The sequence below is a fragment of the Homo sapiens genome, chromosome 3 (assembly GCF_000001405.40).
Source record: "Homo sapiens chromosome 3, GRCh38.p14 Primary Assembly".
NCBI lineage: Eukaryota > Metazoa > Chordata > Mammalia > Primates > Hominidae > Homo > Homo sapiens.
The window spans coordinates 33,372,373-33,388,153 of NC_000003.12; the positions used below are offsets into that span (position 1 = coordinate 33,372,373).

The 15,781-nt window shown below is 43.1% G+C and overlaps 1 protein-coding gene across 26 annotated transcripts in view, besides 1 other annotated feature; it reads left to right on the top strand.

Annotated features, from left to right (window-relative positions):
* FBXL2 (F-box and leucine rich repeat protein 2) overlaps positions 1 to 15,781 on the top strand; it is a 145,674-nt gene that overhangs the window by 95,348 nt on the left and 34,545 nt on the right. For 8 of the 26 annotated variants that reach the window (NR_146122.2, NR_146121.2, NR_146126.2 and 5 more), the window contains 10 exons: positions 720 to 788; positions 888 to 983; positions 1,206 to 1,332; positions 1,475 to 1,549; positions 2,916 to 3,046; positions 4,901 to 4,961; positions 5,731 to 5,775; positions 6,313 to 6,369; positions 11,617 to 11,829; positions 13,129 to 15,720. Coding sequence is in view for 10 of the 26 variants with exons in the window: in NM_001349322.2 (NP_001336251.1) it covers positions 720 to 788; positions 888 to 983; positions 1,206 to 1,332; positions 1,475 to 1,549; positions 2,916 to 3,046; positions 4,901 to 4,961; positions 5,731 to 5,775; positions 6,313 to 6,369; positions 11,617 to 11,829; positions 13,129 to 13,236 (982 nt within the window). In the remaining 16 variants the exon portion in view is untranslated. Of the gene's footprint in view, positions 1 to 719; positions 789 to 868; positions 984 to 1,205; positions 1,333 to 1,474; positions 1,550 to 2,915; positions 3,047 to 4,900; positions 4,962 to 5,730; positions 5,776 to 6,312; positions 6,463 to 11,616; positions 11,830 to 13,128; positions 15,721 to 15,781 lie in introns of those variants that run through there. The other 18 variants (NR_146123.2, NR_146132.2, NR_146129.2 and 15 more) reach the window with 6 other exon arrangements.
* Positions 9,571 to 9,771: a silencer, noted in NCBI's record as "peak4598 fragment used in MPRA reporter construct". NCBI's record gives its function as "represses an SCP1 promoter by STARR-seq MPRAs in K562 erythroleukemia cells {active_cell/tissue: K562}" and the evidence as "EXISTENCE:reporter gene assay evidence [ECO:0000049][PMID:32103011]".

A 15,781-nucleotide genomic window follows, 5' to 3' on the forward strand; every position in this document is an offset into this window, starting at 1 on the left:
CCCATCAGGCTTGGTTCCCCCTACCGGTACCAGGGCAGGTTGGAAGGAGCAAATCTCAAAGCTGTATTTCAGAATGATGGAGACGACCTGAGCTAGTCCTTGCTGAATATGTTAAGCAGTGAGTGGTGAATAGGGCGTTTTAATGTGCTGCTTCTGGCCTTGCTACCAACCCACAGATCAATGAGGAAGTTCCTCTTCATGACTGAATGTCCTCACCAGTAAAATGAGTGGGTCTTGATACTGATTAACTGCTAGACGTCTTCTATCAATCGCCAGAAATGGTTTCTCTGGAAAGGCTCTAGGGTAAGCAAGTGACAGCATGGCACAGTACTAGAAGATTTGCCCCCTTGGTTCAAATTGATTTTTTTGTAGAGCGGAGGGAGCAGGGAGCTAGGCCTCTATTCTCATGATTCGGTGATGACTCACCAAGCTGTGGGTAAAGGAGAACTGATTGATAGGTAGTCTAGGACTCTGCTTCTCAAAACGTGGTCCCTAGACTAGCAGCACTGGCATCACCTGGGAGTTTCTTTGAACTGCAGACTGTCGAGCCCCATTCTAGATCTATCATCAGAATCTGCACTGTGACAAGAACCCTAGCTGATTGTTACGCGCTTTAATTAAGTTTGAGGGAGCGCTGTTCTAAGCGTGAATGGTTTCATATGCCCTCTAGTGGCTGTCCAGCAACTTGCAGGGAGCTTTAAAATGTTTTCTCATTTTAGGACCTTTGCACAGAACTGCCGAAACATTGAACATTTGAACCTCAATGGATGCACAAAAATCACTGACAGGTAAGTAATGAAGATTAATTGGTGACCAAATAGCCACGGGGAGAGAGAAGGGAGAGAAACGTGGTTGAAAATATCTTTAGTGCGTCTGCTCTTTTTCAGCACGTGTTATAGCCTTAGCAGATTCTGTTCCAAGCTGAAACATCTGGATCTGACCTCCTGTGTGTCTATTACAAACAGCTCCTTGAAGGGGATCAGGTAAGAGTGCCCATTGTTTGTGTCAAGAGAAATACCCAAAGCTATGAACATTCTGGAAACCTTCTTAATGGTCACGTTGGATCCAGCAAGAAATAGGTGACTCCAAGAGGTCCCAGGCATGGTCTCCCCTTCGGAATTTCTTGTGATGTACTAAACTCAGAGTTGGTCATTAACTCTCTACAGGAGAGACTGCACATAAGTTTTTGTTTCTTGTTCTCTCAGTGAGGGCTGCCGAAACCTGGAGTACCTGAACCTCTCTTGGTGTGATCAGATCACGAAGGATGGCATCGAGGCACTGGTGCGAGGTTGTCGAGGCCTGAAAGCCCTGCTCCTGAGGGGCTGCACACAGGTACCAGAGGGTTGATACAGCTGTTTGTGTTATGTGTCAGGTGTGGGCACATCATCCAGAAAGCTGCTTTTGCATTTTTCTTGGTGTCCCACTGTTCCCTCACCTGGATTCCAGCTGTCTTTTGTTTTCTCTGTCCACTCAGTTAGAAGATGAAGCTCTGAAACACATTCAGAATTACTGCCATGAGCTTGTGAGCCTCAACTTGCAGTCCTGCTCAGTAAGTAGCGTGCCTTTCCTGAACACTGTTTGCTCTATCTTGTCTCCCAAAGCAGTCTGCCTCAGGCCTCCCTGCAGCCCCCTAGGCACCTGAGATGGGCTGTGTTGCCACACCCTGATTTCCATCCTGTGTCCTTATATAACCTACCAATTTGTCACAAGCTGGAACAACAACAACAACAAAAAGGAATCATACTCAATATAAAGCCACTGACATCTCCCCTAAAAATAATACAGACTAGGTCTTGATTTTGTTGAATAGAGTATTAGGGACGCTATTGAGGAATGCAGTGAATTGGTCACTAAATAGTTTTAAGACATGAAGTGTCTTTTTTTTTAACTTATAAATTAAGGATGATGACTCCTCTCACGTTGTTTCAGTGGATAAAATGAAATAACACATGCAAAAATGCTTTAAAGAATAAAACGCATAGGCAAGAGCAAGGTGGCATTTTCATCAGGACATTAGCCTATGAAAAACTATTGGTCCTTCTCCACTGCCATTGTAAATGTTGATAATTGAAGAGGATGCTTGCTACATCCTACCAGGTTTTCAAGGGGAACATAGATTTTGAGAAAGGTAAGGGAAAACCCTTGCATTCAGCTTTAAATGAATATATTATAAATCTTTAGAGTCCCTAGTGGTGGGGAAAAAAACCAGAAACTATCTTATGGACAAACGTTGACCATATGGGCCAGGACTACTCAAAAATAGGACCTTGACTTACGTGTAGCATAGCAGTGGCTGATGGCTTGAAGTATAATATAGATGTGCGTGTTTATTTCTATATGAAGTAGTCTGTTTAAGTGAACATATTATTTTGAATCTTCATGGCCAAATTCATAGAATTTAAGGTATTTATCAATAATTTTGTGATTTATTTAATTTTCCTATTGTCTAAAACATTTGATGAAATATAAATATATGTGTATATTGTAAATATCTAAAGCATTAATCTGCAGAAATCCAATCAAATATTAATGTCAGTTAAACTAGGAAAGCCTCAAAAGTTCTTTAATCAGATTTTTAAATTATGAGTTTATAAATTTTATGAAAAAATCTATATTTTGATGACTAGTGAGGGAGAAATGGAATTTTAAACTTTTATTCTCCATTTATATTATTTAAAATTTTTACTTTATTTTTTCCTGGATGCATGTATCTTATCTAAATTGCTGAAATATTTTAAAGCTGTGCAGAGATAACACAAGTACCTGTCTACCCTCTACTTATTTTGTTGAAGTTATTTGGATAAAATGCTAGTAATCAGCAACCAAAACTGAACAACAGCAGATACTTTTCTGCTGCTCCCGTTTTGGTATTGCTGGTGTCCTCTGACTTTTCTTTCTGTGCTGCTTTTCCTCAGCGTATCACGGATGAAGGTGTGGTGCAGATATGCAGGGGCTGTCACCGGCTACAGGCTCTCTGCCTTTCGGGTTGCAGCAACCTCACAGATGCCTCTCTTACAGCCCTGGGTTTGAACTGTCCGCGACTGCAGTGAGTACACTGCACTTTTTGCTTTGCAGCTCAGAGTTTGGCTGAGTTAACCAAGAGGGCTTCCTTCAGGAGAGGACAGGCTTGCCAGGTAGTGGTGGTGGAGGCAGTAGTTATGTTGTTGTTGGCTTTTGTTGGGTAAATTGGGGTGGGGCGTGTATAAATCCAGTTCATTGGAGGATGTACTGGGAGAGTATAAAATGTCTACCACCAGTGAATCCAAACTTTAATTTCTTAATGAATGTCACACAGTTTCCCACCTAATTTACCTCATCATGTTATTGCTTTAAGCACCCGAGTGAGCACATAGTGAGGAGAGTGATAGCCTCACATCCAAAGGACATGAGCTTCTCCTCCAGAACTGCTGCCAAATGGACAGAATGAGGGGAATATCACAATCACCTTCTTACTTAGCTTCTTCCCCAGTAGGAAAAAAAGTTTTTAACAAATAATAATTTAGGCCAGGCATGGTGGCTCATGCCTGTAATCCCAACAGTTTGGGATGCTGAGGTGGGTGGGTCACCTGAGGTCAGGAATTCGAAACCAGCCTGGCCAACATGGTGACACCTCGTCTCTACTAAAAATACAAAAATTAGTCTGGTTGGTGGCAGGTGCCTGTAATTCCAGCTACTCGGAATGCTGAGGCAGGAGAATTGCTTGAACCCGCGAGGCGGAGGTTGCAGTGAGCCAAGATTGTGCCACTGCACTCTAGTCTAGGTGACAAGAGTGAGACCCCATCTCAAAAAAAAAAACAAAAAAAACAATAATTTGTATTCTCATCCTCAAGGTAATAGATTATCATTACCAGCTATGAATATTAAAATTTTAACAATGGTAACAATAGTTGACTTCAGAACCAGCAACCTTTAACTTTATCCAAGAGGCAGAAAAAAAGATACTTTTTAAAAATCTCTACTTCCCAATGAAACTGATCCATTCCCACGCTCACACCAGTTCTGTATCTTTTAAGAATTGTATATTTCTGCTTTTACCAATTTTTCTTACTGTTGTAGAGAAGGTACTATATCATTTAGATATTTCTGCTTAGTAGAAGGAATTTGGGTGATCAAAACTGGCCAGAAAGGAGGTCAAAATTATTGCTGTAAGGGAGTGTTTAACTTAGAAATGTTATTCATGCACCCATCCCTATTAAGCATGGGTAATTGAGAATTAACTTATTTTTCATTGTCCACAAATTTTTTAAATTTCCTTTAGGGTACCTGGGAATTTCCATAAATGGAGTAAATCTCAAGATGATTTTGTTGAGAAAAGTTCATTTTAAATGTGTTTAAAAAGTGAACAAGGCTGGGCATGGTGGCTCATGCCTGTAATCCCAGCACTTTGGGAGGCCGAGGTGGGTGGATTACCTGAGGTCAGGAGTTTGAGACCAGCCTGGCCAAGATGATGAAATCCCGTTTCTACTAAAAGTACAAAAATTAGCTGGGCATGGTGGCGGGCACCTGTAGTCCCAGCTACTTGGGAGACTGAGACGGGAGAATCATTTGAACCTGGGAGGCGGAGGCTGCAGTGAGCCAAGATGCTCCACTGCACTCCAGCCTGGGTGACAGTATGAGACGCTGTTTGCAAAACAAAACAAAACAAAAACAAAACCAAAAAACAAATATTAGAATACTATTTAAAAACAACATGCTGGTAAAGCAGGAAGATTCTTGGATTTACTTTCCAAGTTTGGGATGGAACTTCGGGGCTTTGGGCAGGTCACATTCCCTAAGGGCTGTTAACAGAGGCAAAAGCATGTCAAAGAGCAGAAAAGACTCAAGTATGCATCATAAAATATGTGTTTCCATTATTAACTAGTTGGTACCGTTTTCTCCCCTGTACCCACTTTCTCCTCAGAATTTTGGAGGCTGCCCGATGCTCCCATTTGACTGACGCAGGTTTTACACTTTTAGCTCGGGTAAGGCATAGATTTAAAGAATACAACCAAACTCTAATTCACCTCCCGAATTCAAAGTGACTTGGAGTGGTTTTGGGTGTGCAAAAGACTACCTTCAGAAAAGACAGGCACAAAGTAGAGTAGAACCCTTGGGGTGTGTACTGCAGTTTTTCCAGTTAGCCAGAAATCTAGGGAAGTCCTATAGAGGGTTCTGTAAAGAGTCTGAGCCTCACGCGTGGTCAAGTGGGACCAGCCTCCTCCTGGCAGGAGACTCCATTCCTCATTGGACCCCAACTTGGCCTCTCAGCAGCTCCCCCTAACTGGGCTGTACTCTGCCCTTTGTCCTGCAAACACTGACCACTGGGGGCCCCTCTGGACCTGCTGCCAGGAACCCATGTCCTCCTGGGGCTGCTGATATACTTGGCTACCTCCACCCAACCCCCACAGTGTGGCTTAGTGCCCCATCCCCATGCCCTCCCAGAGTCTAGGCTATGGCTAAAATTTACCTGCTGATGTCTGCGAGCCACTGGGAAGGTTGTAGACAACTCTCTTTACAAGTTGAGAGAAGGAAATGCAGCCAGAGGCAGCCCTATTCCCAGTTCCAAAGCACTGTAACTCAAAAGGCAGCTGTTCAGAAGTGCTGGTTTACTGGGTAGCTTTAGGAAGAGGGCATACTTCTTAACAGAAGAGAACAAGGACACTGGGCCAATACTCAGAGGGATAGGGCAAGCCACCATTGTTGCTGTCACCACTGACTCACATGTGGGGTGTGTCTTGTGGACTCTTCCAGAATTGCCACGAATTGGAGAAGATGGATCTTGAAGAATGCATCCTGGTGAGTGGACTCCTGACAGCCCTGCAGGGCAGCCTGCTCCTTAGTCATTGCTGGCCAGTGCAGCACAGCCAGAGACACTGACTCGCTATCATCCTGACCCTCCTTGATCAACCTCAGTGGCAGGGCTTGGAAACCTGTGAAGGCCATGGCAGTGGATGCGTGAACTTTTGGCCATTCTCAGTCATCAGACAGAACTACAGAAGAGAAGTTCAGGATAGCTCTATAAAATAAGCTTGCATGTCCAGTGATGGGGTGACTCCAAAGAGGAGAATCCTGGGAACCCTCCTTGCCCACTCCCTCTTTGTCCCTTGCCCCAAGCCTCCTTGGGGTACCAGAAGAGAGACAAAGAACAGTTTTGCATCTCTAGAAGTGGGCAGATTTTAGAGTGCTGGTGAAGAGAGGAGCTCCCAGCCCCAGAGTGTTTGAGATGAGTTTTTAATTCTTTTACACCTTTTGATTCTCGTGTTCAGGAGAAGCCAGGATTAGGTATTAAGTTCTGGTGTAGAAGCCACACTGACACAGCATGTTTCTCTCCAGATAACCGACAGCACACTCATCCAGCTCTCCATTCACTGTCCTAAACTGCAAGCCCTGGTGAGTCTGAGTTTTTCTGACATTATTCACCTGTTAAAGATGAAAGAGCCCTCCCACCACAACAAGAAGCTGTTTGGGTTCTCTTTCTGTAAGGTATCATCTCTCTTGATTTCAAAAATCTATTAATTGGGCTAACTTGGGAGGCAAGGTATCTAAATATTTGATTACTGCTTTCATTGAATTTGCAATTTTAAGATTCCCAAAAGAGAAATGTCCAGATCCAGATGGTTTTGTTGGGGAACTCTACCAAACATTTAAGGAATGAACATCTTTTTTTTTTTTTTGAAACAGGGTCTCACTCTATCGCCTAGGGTGGAAAGCAGTGGCACAATCTGAGCTCGCTACAACCTCCACCTCCCAGGTTCAAGCAATTCTCCTCCTCAGCCTTGCGGGGGGATTACAAACATGCGCCACCATGCCTGGCTAATTTTTGTATTTTTAGTAGAGACGGGGTTTCACCATGTTGGCCAGGCTGGTCTCGAACTCCTGACCTCAGGTGATCTGCCTGCCTCAGCCTCCCAAAGTGCTGGGATTACAGGTGTGAGCTACCGCACCTGACCTGAATTAGCATCAATTCTATACACTCTGTTTTAGGAAATAAGACAGTAAAACATTTTACAACTCTTTTTTTGAGACAGAGTCTTGCTCTGTCACCCAGGCTGGACTGCAGTGGCGCGACCTCAGCTCACTGCAACCTCTGCCTCCTTGGTTCAAGCTATTCTCCTGCCTCATCCTCCCGAGTAGCTGGGATTACAGGCGTGCACCACCACGCCCAGCAAATTTTTGTATTTTTAGTAGAGACGGGGTTTCACCATGTTGGCCTGGCTGGTCTCGAACTCCTGACCTCAAGTGATCCACCTGCCTCGGCCTCCCAAAACAACTTTTTTTTTTTAATGAGGCCAGTAATACCCTGTTATCAAAACCAAACAAAAATTGTACCAAAAAAAAAACAAAAACAAAAAAAAACACTACAGACCGATATTCCTCATAAACATAGAAGCAAGTATCTGTAACAAAATATTAGCAAATAGAATGTAGCAATATATAGAAATAATTATAATACCATGGCCAAGCAGGGTTTACTCCAGAGACACAAGTGTAGTTTAATATTTGAAAACTGACTGATGTAATCAACCATATTAACTAAAGAAGAAAAATTACATGATCACATCAACTAATGCAGAAAAAGAATTTGACAAAATTCAAGAGGGCTGGGCACGGTGGCTCACACCTCTAATCCCAGCACTTTGGGAGGCTGAGGTGGGCAGATCACAAGGTCAGGACATTGAGACCATCCTGGCCAAGATGGTGAAACCCCATCTCTACTACCAAAATTAGCTGGGCGTGGTGGCACACGCCTGTAGTCCCAGCTACTCTGGAGGCTGAGACAGGGGAACTGCTTGAACCTGGGAGGCGGAGGTTGCAGTGAGCCAAGGTCACACCACTGCACTCCAGTCTGGCGACAGAGTGAGACTCTGTCTCAAAAAAAAAAAAAAAAAATTCAAAAGAAAAAGTTACTTTAAAAAGTACCAGGCCGGCTGCGGTGGCTCATGCCTGTAATCCCCAGCACTTTGGGAGGCCGAGGCAGGCAGATTGCCTGAGGTTGGGAGTTCGAGACCAGCCTAACCAACATGGAGAAACCCTGTCTCTACTAAAAATACAAAAAATTAGCCAGGCATGGTGGCACATGCCTATAATCCCAGCTACTAGGGAGGCTGAGGCAGGAGAATTGCTTGAAACTGGGAGGGGGAGATTGCTGTGAGCTGAGATCTCGCCATTGCACTCCAGCCTGGGCAACAAGAGCAAAACTCCATAAAAAAAAAAAAAAAAAAAGTACCAGGAATATGAGAAAAATCCCCAGTTGCCATGTTCCCTACACAGGGATAACTATCACTGTGGCCAGTTTCTGTCCTTTTTGAGAAATTCTTTGTGCAATGAAAAGTGATTGTCTTTCTCTGTCCCTCTCCTCCCTGTCTCTTTCATGCACACACATCCACACCACATCCATGGGAGCAGAAGACACCTGCTGATGGCAATTAAAAGTAACCACCTCTGAGTCAGGAATGTGATATAAGCTGCTCGCTTCCAGAATGCATCACTCCTGCCAGGGATGAGTGACAGTGCATGACAGGAGAAAAGGCTTTAAGGCCAACCTGAGCTGGGTATAATTGGCAAGTCTCAAGTTCTTTGAGCCACAATGCTGTCATCTGTAAAAAGGGAATAATGACACTTACTCTGCAGAATTGGCCCGAACCAGACAGCTTTGACTATTGACTACGTTGTTAGTGTTAATATAGAAGGCCCCACTGCTGTGTGAACCATGTTGGCAGCGGATTTTCCTGTTAACTCAGAACAGGTCAAGCACCCTCTGATTTTCCTTAAATCAGTTTTTAAAAATTTCTATGAATACTTGAATATGCCAGTACATAAGTTTTTCAATTAATATAACAGTATCTCCTCAGTCTCATATGTTACTGTTAACTTCTTGATTTCTGAATTTCCCTATATTAAAACAATGGAGAAATTGACATTCATACACCATCTCCATCATCTTTCTCCAATCTGTGTTTGTAAATATACACGTATATACGTGTGAATCCATATGTAAATAAAATGAAATTGGCTGGGCACGGTGGCTCACGCCTGTAATCTCAACACTTTGGGAGGCCAAGGCGGGTGGATCACCTGAGGTCGGGAGTTCGAGACCAGCCTGACCAACATGGAGAAACCCCGCCTCTACTAAAAATACAAAATTAGCCAGGCGTGGTGGCGCATGCATGACTGAGGCAGGAGAACCGCTTGAACCTGGGAGGTGGAGGTTGCGTTGAGCCGAGATTGCGCCATTGCACTCCAGCCTGGGCAACAAGAGTGAAACTCCATCTCAAAAAAAAATAAATAAAAATTTAAAAAAAAAAGAAAATGAAATATATACATACACAGAGAGACACTTTTTTTCTCATTCCATTTTATTGTAAGTAATCAAACTTCTATTTTTTTATTTACCAATTTTAAACAGCCTCCTAAAGAACCAGTTTTCTGGCTTTACTCTTAATTCTAAAAGCTAAAAACCAATGAACAGCATTGATTACATAAATACTATTTGATGTAAACCATGTAGAGTGATTCGATTCATGAGAAAGGAAATATATTCCACATTGTTAAGATCAAGCTCAGAGAAGAATCTTTAAAGCATCAAGGTCCAACAGAATTCCTCTCCTCTAGCTTCCCTTCCCTCGAGGTGGTACTCTGCTGCCTAGTTACATAGCCAGTAGTTCTAGTTTCTAGCAGTAGTTTCTAGTTTGGGGCTGTTACAACCAGTACTGCAATGTCTTAGATTTTTTTATTCTGCAGGAATACCTTACACCCATCCACTCAGGTCTCCTCTGCCAGGACTTGTCAAGTCCAAACTCTCAGACATTTCCTTGCTTCATAGACTGCAGTAGCCATTCACTTGCTCTAAACTGTATCCACTTTCGCACTAAAAAATTTGGCAGAGTGGTTTTTCAAATTTTAACTTTACTGAAGTAAAATATACATGTAGAAAAGCACATTTATCATTGGTGTATAGATCAATGCATTTCCATAAACTGAATACACCCCGATCAAAGGTCAACATTATCATGACCCCGGAAAGGCCCTTTCTGCTCCCTTTCAATCACTGATCCCCCAAAAGTCGTGACTTCCAAATAGTATATATTAGTTTTGCCTCTTTGTATTTTATTTAAATGATATGAATGGAATTATCATGTATACTCATCTGGTTTCCTTATCCATATTGTTACATGTAGTTGTATATTGTTCATTCTCACTGCTTTATAGAATGGGTACACTGTGATTTATTTATCCTTTCTCTACTTTTGAATATTTGAGTACTGCTTCTAGTTTGGGGCCATTACAGCCAGTATTCCTGTTTTTTGGTTAACACATGTATGCATTTCAGTCAGAAACATCGAAATAACCCCTGCAGCATATGAGACTTCCAATTGCTCCACATCCTCACCAACACTTATTTTCCATCTTTTTTGAAAAACAATTGTAACATCACATTCTCCTTACAACTCCTCCCACTGACCTTGGAATCAGAACTAAATTTCTTTACATAACCTACACAACTCTGTGATCTGGCCCTTACCTCCCCAATTCCATCTGCATCTACATGCGTCCTCTTATTTCCCACCTATTATATGTTGACCTTCTTCCTAAACAGTACTTGCCGTTCTCCTGCTACCCCTGGGCCTTGCACACAACAAACTCTTTGCTCTCTTTCCTAGGATTAGCTCCTAATCCTTCAAATATCAACTCAGTGGTCTGTTCCCCAGGACAAATCCTGCTATCATATGCTCTCAAAGCACCTCAGCTTCAGTTTAAAAGATTAGCATTATTTGATTTTATAGACTCTCCAGTCTGGGCTCTGCCAGTGCAGAGAAGTATACTTTTACTCATCATTGCACACGTGGGGGCTGGGACAGAGTTAGAACTCATTTATTTGAAGGAACAAATGAACAAATGGGAATTGATACAGTACTTTTGCCTCTCTAGTTTTTATGGTGGGGTGAATCTTACATTTGATATGCACTGGGGGAAACTGTCAGGTCTGAAACTGTTTTTGATATAGAGAACTTAAGAGAATTACATAAATGTCATTTGGCTATATAATATTCATCTGAATTTATCTTTTGCAACCATTACTGTTTACCCAAGAGAAGTCAGTAATGTCAGATCACACTGTTCAAGGTCTATTTGATTATAACCTTCAAAGATGCTCAGTATATCTCTGGGTCTCAGCTATTTGTGCAATTTTCTAAATGAACAAGGACATTAGATGCATTGATTTCACTGGCATCCCCTCAAATGGAGAACTGGCCAATAAAACTGCTCTCAAGGGGGTAAACTGAAATCTCCCCTGAAGATTTTATTTCCATCTTTACACAATTAGAAGAGAGAAGCCACTCCCAGTGTAGCAAACCCATAACCAAAGGGCCCCAAGGCTTTGTGTTTGGTCCTCACTGCCTGATTAAATGTCTCAGTCTGTTTTGTGCTGCTACTACAGACTGGATAATTTGTAATGAACAGAAACTTCTCATAGTTCTGAAGGCTGGGAAGTCCAGGGGCTGGCATCTGCTGAGGGCATTCTTGCTGTGTCATCCCATTGCAGAAGGGCAAAAAGGCTAGCTTCCAGCTTTTTTTTAGGACTTGAGCCTTGGAATAAGGGTCCTGCAAACATTTACTCATGTCTTCCTGTTCCAGAGCCTGTCCCACTGTGAACTCATCACAGATGATGGGATCCTGCACCTGAGCAACAGTACCTGTGGCCATGAGAGGCTGCGGGTACTGGAGTTGGACAACTGCCTCCTCATCACTGATGTGGCCCTGGAACACCTAGAGAACTGCCGAGGCCTGGAGCGCCTCGAGCTGTACGACTGCCAGCAGGTTACCCGTGCAGGCATCAAGCGGATGCGGGTAGGTATGGGGCAGGGGAGTCAGTCACACCTGACATTTCTAAGCACCAAAGGAAAACATCAAGAATCAGACCGGGGCTAGGCACGCGGTGGCTCACGCCTGTAATCCCAACACTTTCAGAAGCCAAGGTGGGTGGACCACTTGAGGTCAGGAGTTCAAGACCAGTCTGGTCAAAATGGTGAAACCCCATTTCTACTAAAAATACAAAAATTAGCCAGGTGTGGTGGTGGGCACCTGTAATCCCAGCTACTCGGGAGGCTGAGGCAGGAGAATCACCCGAACCTGGGAAGCAGAAGTTGCAGTGAGCCCAGACTGCACCACTGCACTTCAGCCTGCACCACAGAGTGAGACTCCATCTCAAAATAAATCGATCAATCAACACTCATTTCCTGTTATGCAATAGTTATGCAAACTGATCTGGTACAATAGTGTCACCTTAAACTTCTTCAAAATGTTCTTGCTTAGACTCCACCCTGGAAGATTCAACTTGAGTTGGGTCTGGGCTGGAGATTCCACATAGTCTGGTGATCGTAGCCCTTATAAGAAAGCCTATGTTGGGATGGGCGCGGTGGCTCACGACTCTAATCCCAGCACTTTGGGAGGCCGAGGCGGGCGGATCACAAGGTCAAGGGTTCGAGACCAGCTGACCAACATGGTGAAACCGTCTCTACTAATAATATAAAAATTAGCTGGCTGCGTGCCTGTAATCCCAGCTAATTGGGAGGCTGAGGCAGGAGAATCGCTTGAACCCGGGAGGTGGAGGTTGCAGTGAGCTGAGATTGCGCCATTGCACTCCAGCCTGGGCGACAAGAGTGAAACTCTGTCTCAAAAAAAGAAAAAAGGCCTATGGTAAAGGCAAGCAATTTAAGGTCATTATGAGTGGGAGGTAGAACTCTCTTGGCTAATTTCCAGGTAAGAGAGCTTAACAGAATTTGGCTTTTTCCATATAGTTCACCTACACTGTTTTCTTGATTATGCTTTAAGTTTAGGCAACTGCATTTAACAGCCCCATCCAGGGTGCTACAGCTGTAGAGAACATTCACTTAGTTTGTAAACAGGGCTGGTTACTACCCCTGGGTGGAAACGTATCAACGTAAGTGTTTTCACTTATCCTTAGAAGGTACTAATGGGGGGCAGACGGTGCGGGGAGTAACAGGAGTAGCTCTAATCTATAGCATAAATTCTACTTCAACTAAGGTGAAGATTTTTAATAGAGGACTATAGGTTTTTCTAGAATTATGACTATAATCCTAAAAATAGTAATGTGTAAAGACTCCACTTTTTTCTTCATCCTTCCAGGCTCAGCTCCCTCATGTCAAAGTCCACGCCTACTTTGCTCCCGTCACCCCACCGACAGCAGTGGCAGGAAGTGGACAGCGACTGTGCAGGTGCTGTGTCATTCTCTGACAGCAGCTGCCTGGGCCCAAGGGGTGATGAGGCATCCTTTCCTCTAGAAGACCTGAGTCTTCCTGACCGACTCCACCATCACCCAATCTGTTGATTCTCCATTGGGAAAGGCATTTACAGGTAAAAGACTTCTGTATGGATTGCAGTTACTCTGGTGATAGTTTTCACCTTTATTCTGCTGTGAAACAATCAAATCAAAGCCTTGTGTCAGTTAACACATGACAAGTGGTCTCAATGCAGCTAGGACCATGCCAGAAACCTGGATCTCTTAAGAGATTGGTACCTACCTAGGTACGAAAGTTCTACCCTTGGCATACTCAGCATTCCTCAAAAAGACCATCAGTGTTAGCACAAACTGAGCAGAAAAAATAAGCTGTTGATTTTCTACCTGATACTTAAGCCAGTGGCCTACTTTAATTCACAATTCCATTTTGATTAGCAGGACTTTTCCACTTTGAAGATAAATAGCAACTTTATCAAAGTGACTGTACTGCAAATTAATTCATAATGCCTGATAGTTTTATATATAGAGACTTATGTGGAAGGCATGTTAATAGGTTTCCATGAGACACCAAAGAAAAGAGGACTCTATACTGGGTGGAGCAGGGTCTTCACCTTTTTGTTTCTGTCAACTTGTCATATACACCTCCAGGGACCAAAAACAAAAGCAGCTCGGAGTCTGTGTTGCCTGATTGGAAAGTAGAAGCTCTGGTGTATGCTACAGCACATAACACATTTTTACTAAAGGAAAAAAGCTAATTATGTCCATGCCTCTCGTAAAACTGGGGGGAACCTTAAAGAGAAAGAACTAAGGCTTAAGTTATCTGTAGTATAATCAATTAGAAGTAATGAATGGATGCATGTAAAATGGATGTGATTTTTTTTCAAGCTTATTTTGAAATCTTAAAAATCAGGTTACACCATAGCTACTCAAAAGTTTTACACACTTAAAACTCAGATCAGTAAGTGTTGGTACCTTTTAGACTCATAAAATTGAATAAACCATTGCAATGCTTTAAAAAAAATTAAGTCAGAGGGTTTTATTGCTATGATTTTATGGCAGACACATCCAAGCAAAACCATTTTCCAAATGCAGACCTTCCTGATGTTATCTGAAATCTGATAAAATGACCCTACTCTCTGCTGTGGTTCATTCTTGCTCCATGCTGTCCATATTTATGATCTTTATTAAGAACCTGTCAATCAGTCATCACCACCTTCATTGTAAACTTAGGTGTTCATGGTGGCTGGCCCTTCCAAACAACCACTCCCCCAAACTGAAGGGCCAGAGCTCATGAGAAACTTAAAAGTGAAACGGCAAAAGCAAGATGTGTTCCCATGACTACCAATACCTTTATTAGGCAGTTTTAGAAGTGTTTTTAAGGATATATTATGTCAGCTGCATTCTAGGAAGAGAAGCAGATTATATATATATATAATCTCCCCATAAACGGACTTAGCACAATTATCATCAGAGTAAGCATTAAAGTCATTTTATTGCCTTATGATATATTCCAGTATTCCTTGGTCTAAAAATTGTGTGGATACCATAGCAGTTAGTTAAATATACATTTATACCCACTGTTTGTTGTGGAAGAGATGATGGGGGAGGAGGACTGATGCAGGAAGCAACTTCAATAAATGAGCATATAACAGACTTGCTTCAGTGATTATGAATTAGTTTAGTTTCTATTAAAAAAAATTAACTTAAGGCTGGCCACGGTGGTTCATGCCTATAATCCCAGCACTTGGGGAGGCCAAGGCGGGTGGATCACCTGAGGTCAGGAGTTTGAGACCAGCCTGGCCAACACAGTAAAACCCCATCTCTACTGAAAATACAAAAATTAGCCGGGCGTGGTGCTGGGCACCTGTAATCTCAGCTACTCGGGAGGCTGAAGCAGGAGAAATGCTGGAACCCAGGAGGCGGAGGTGGCAGTGAGCCGAGATTGTGCCATTGCACTCCATCCAGCCCAGGAGACAACAGTGAGACTCCATCATCATCTCAAAACAAAACAAACAAACAAACAAAACAAACCACCAGAGCCTTCTATACATGATTGATTTCTTTTGAGCCAGGATACAACCTATCATCAGTCACAGCTATTGGACTTGATGCTCAATGATCCATGGCCTCATTTACAAAACAGGAGAACCTCTTGTAAGAAAATCAGGTTTGCAGGCTGGGCACGGTGGCTCACGCCTGTAATCCCAGCACTTTGGGAGGCAGAGGCGGGCGGATCGTGAGATCAGGAGATCAAGACCATCCTGGCTAACACAGTGAAACCCCGTCTCTACTAAAAATACAAAAAAAATTAGCCGGGCATAGTGGCGGGTGCCTGTAGTCCCAGCTACTCAGGAGACTGAGGCAGAAGAATGGCGTGAACCCGGGAGGCAGAGCTTGCAGTGAGCCGAGATTGCGCCACTGCACTCCAGCCTGGGTGACAGAGCCAGACTCCGTCTCAAAAAAAAAAAAAAAAAAGAAAATCAGGTTTGCTTCCTTTTAAAGTCTGGAATAGTTTAGTTAGTTAGTTAGTTAGTTAGTTAG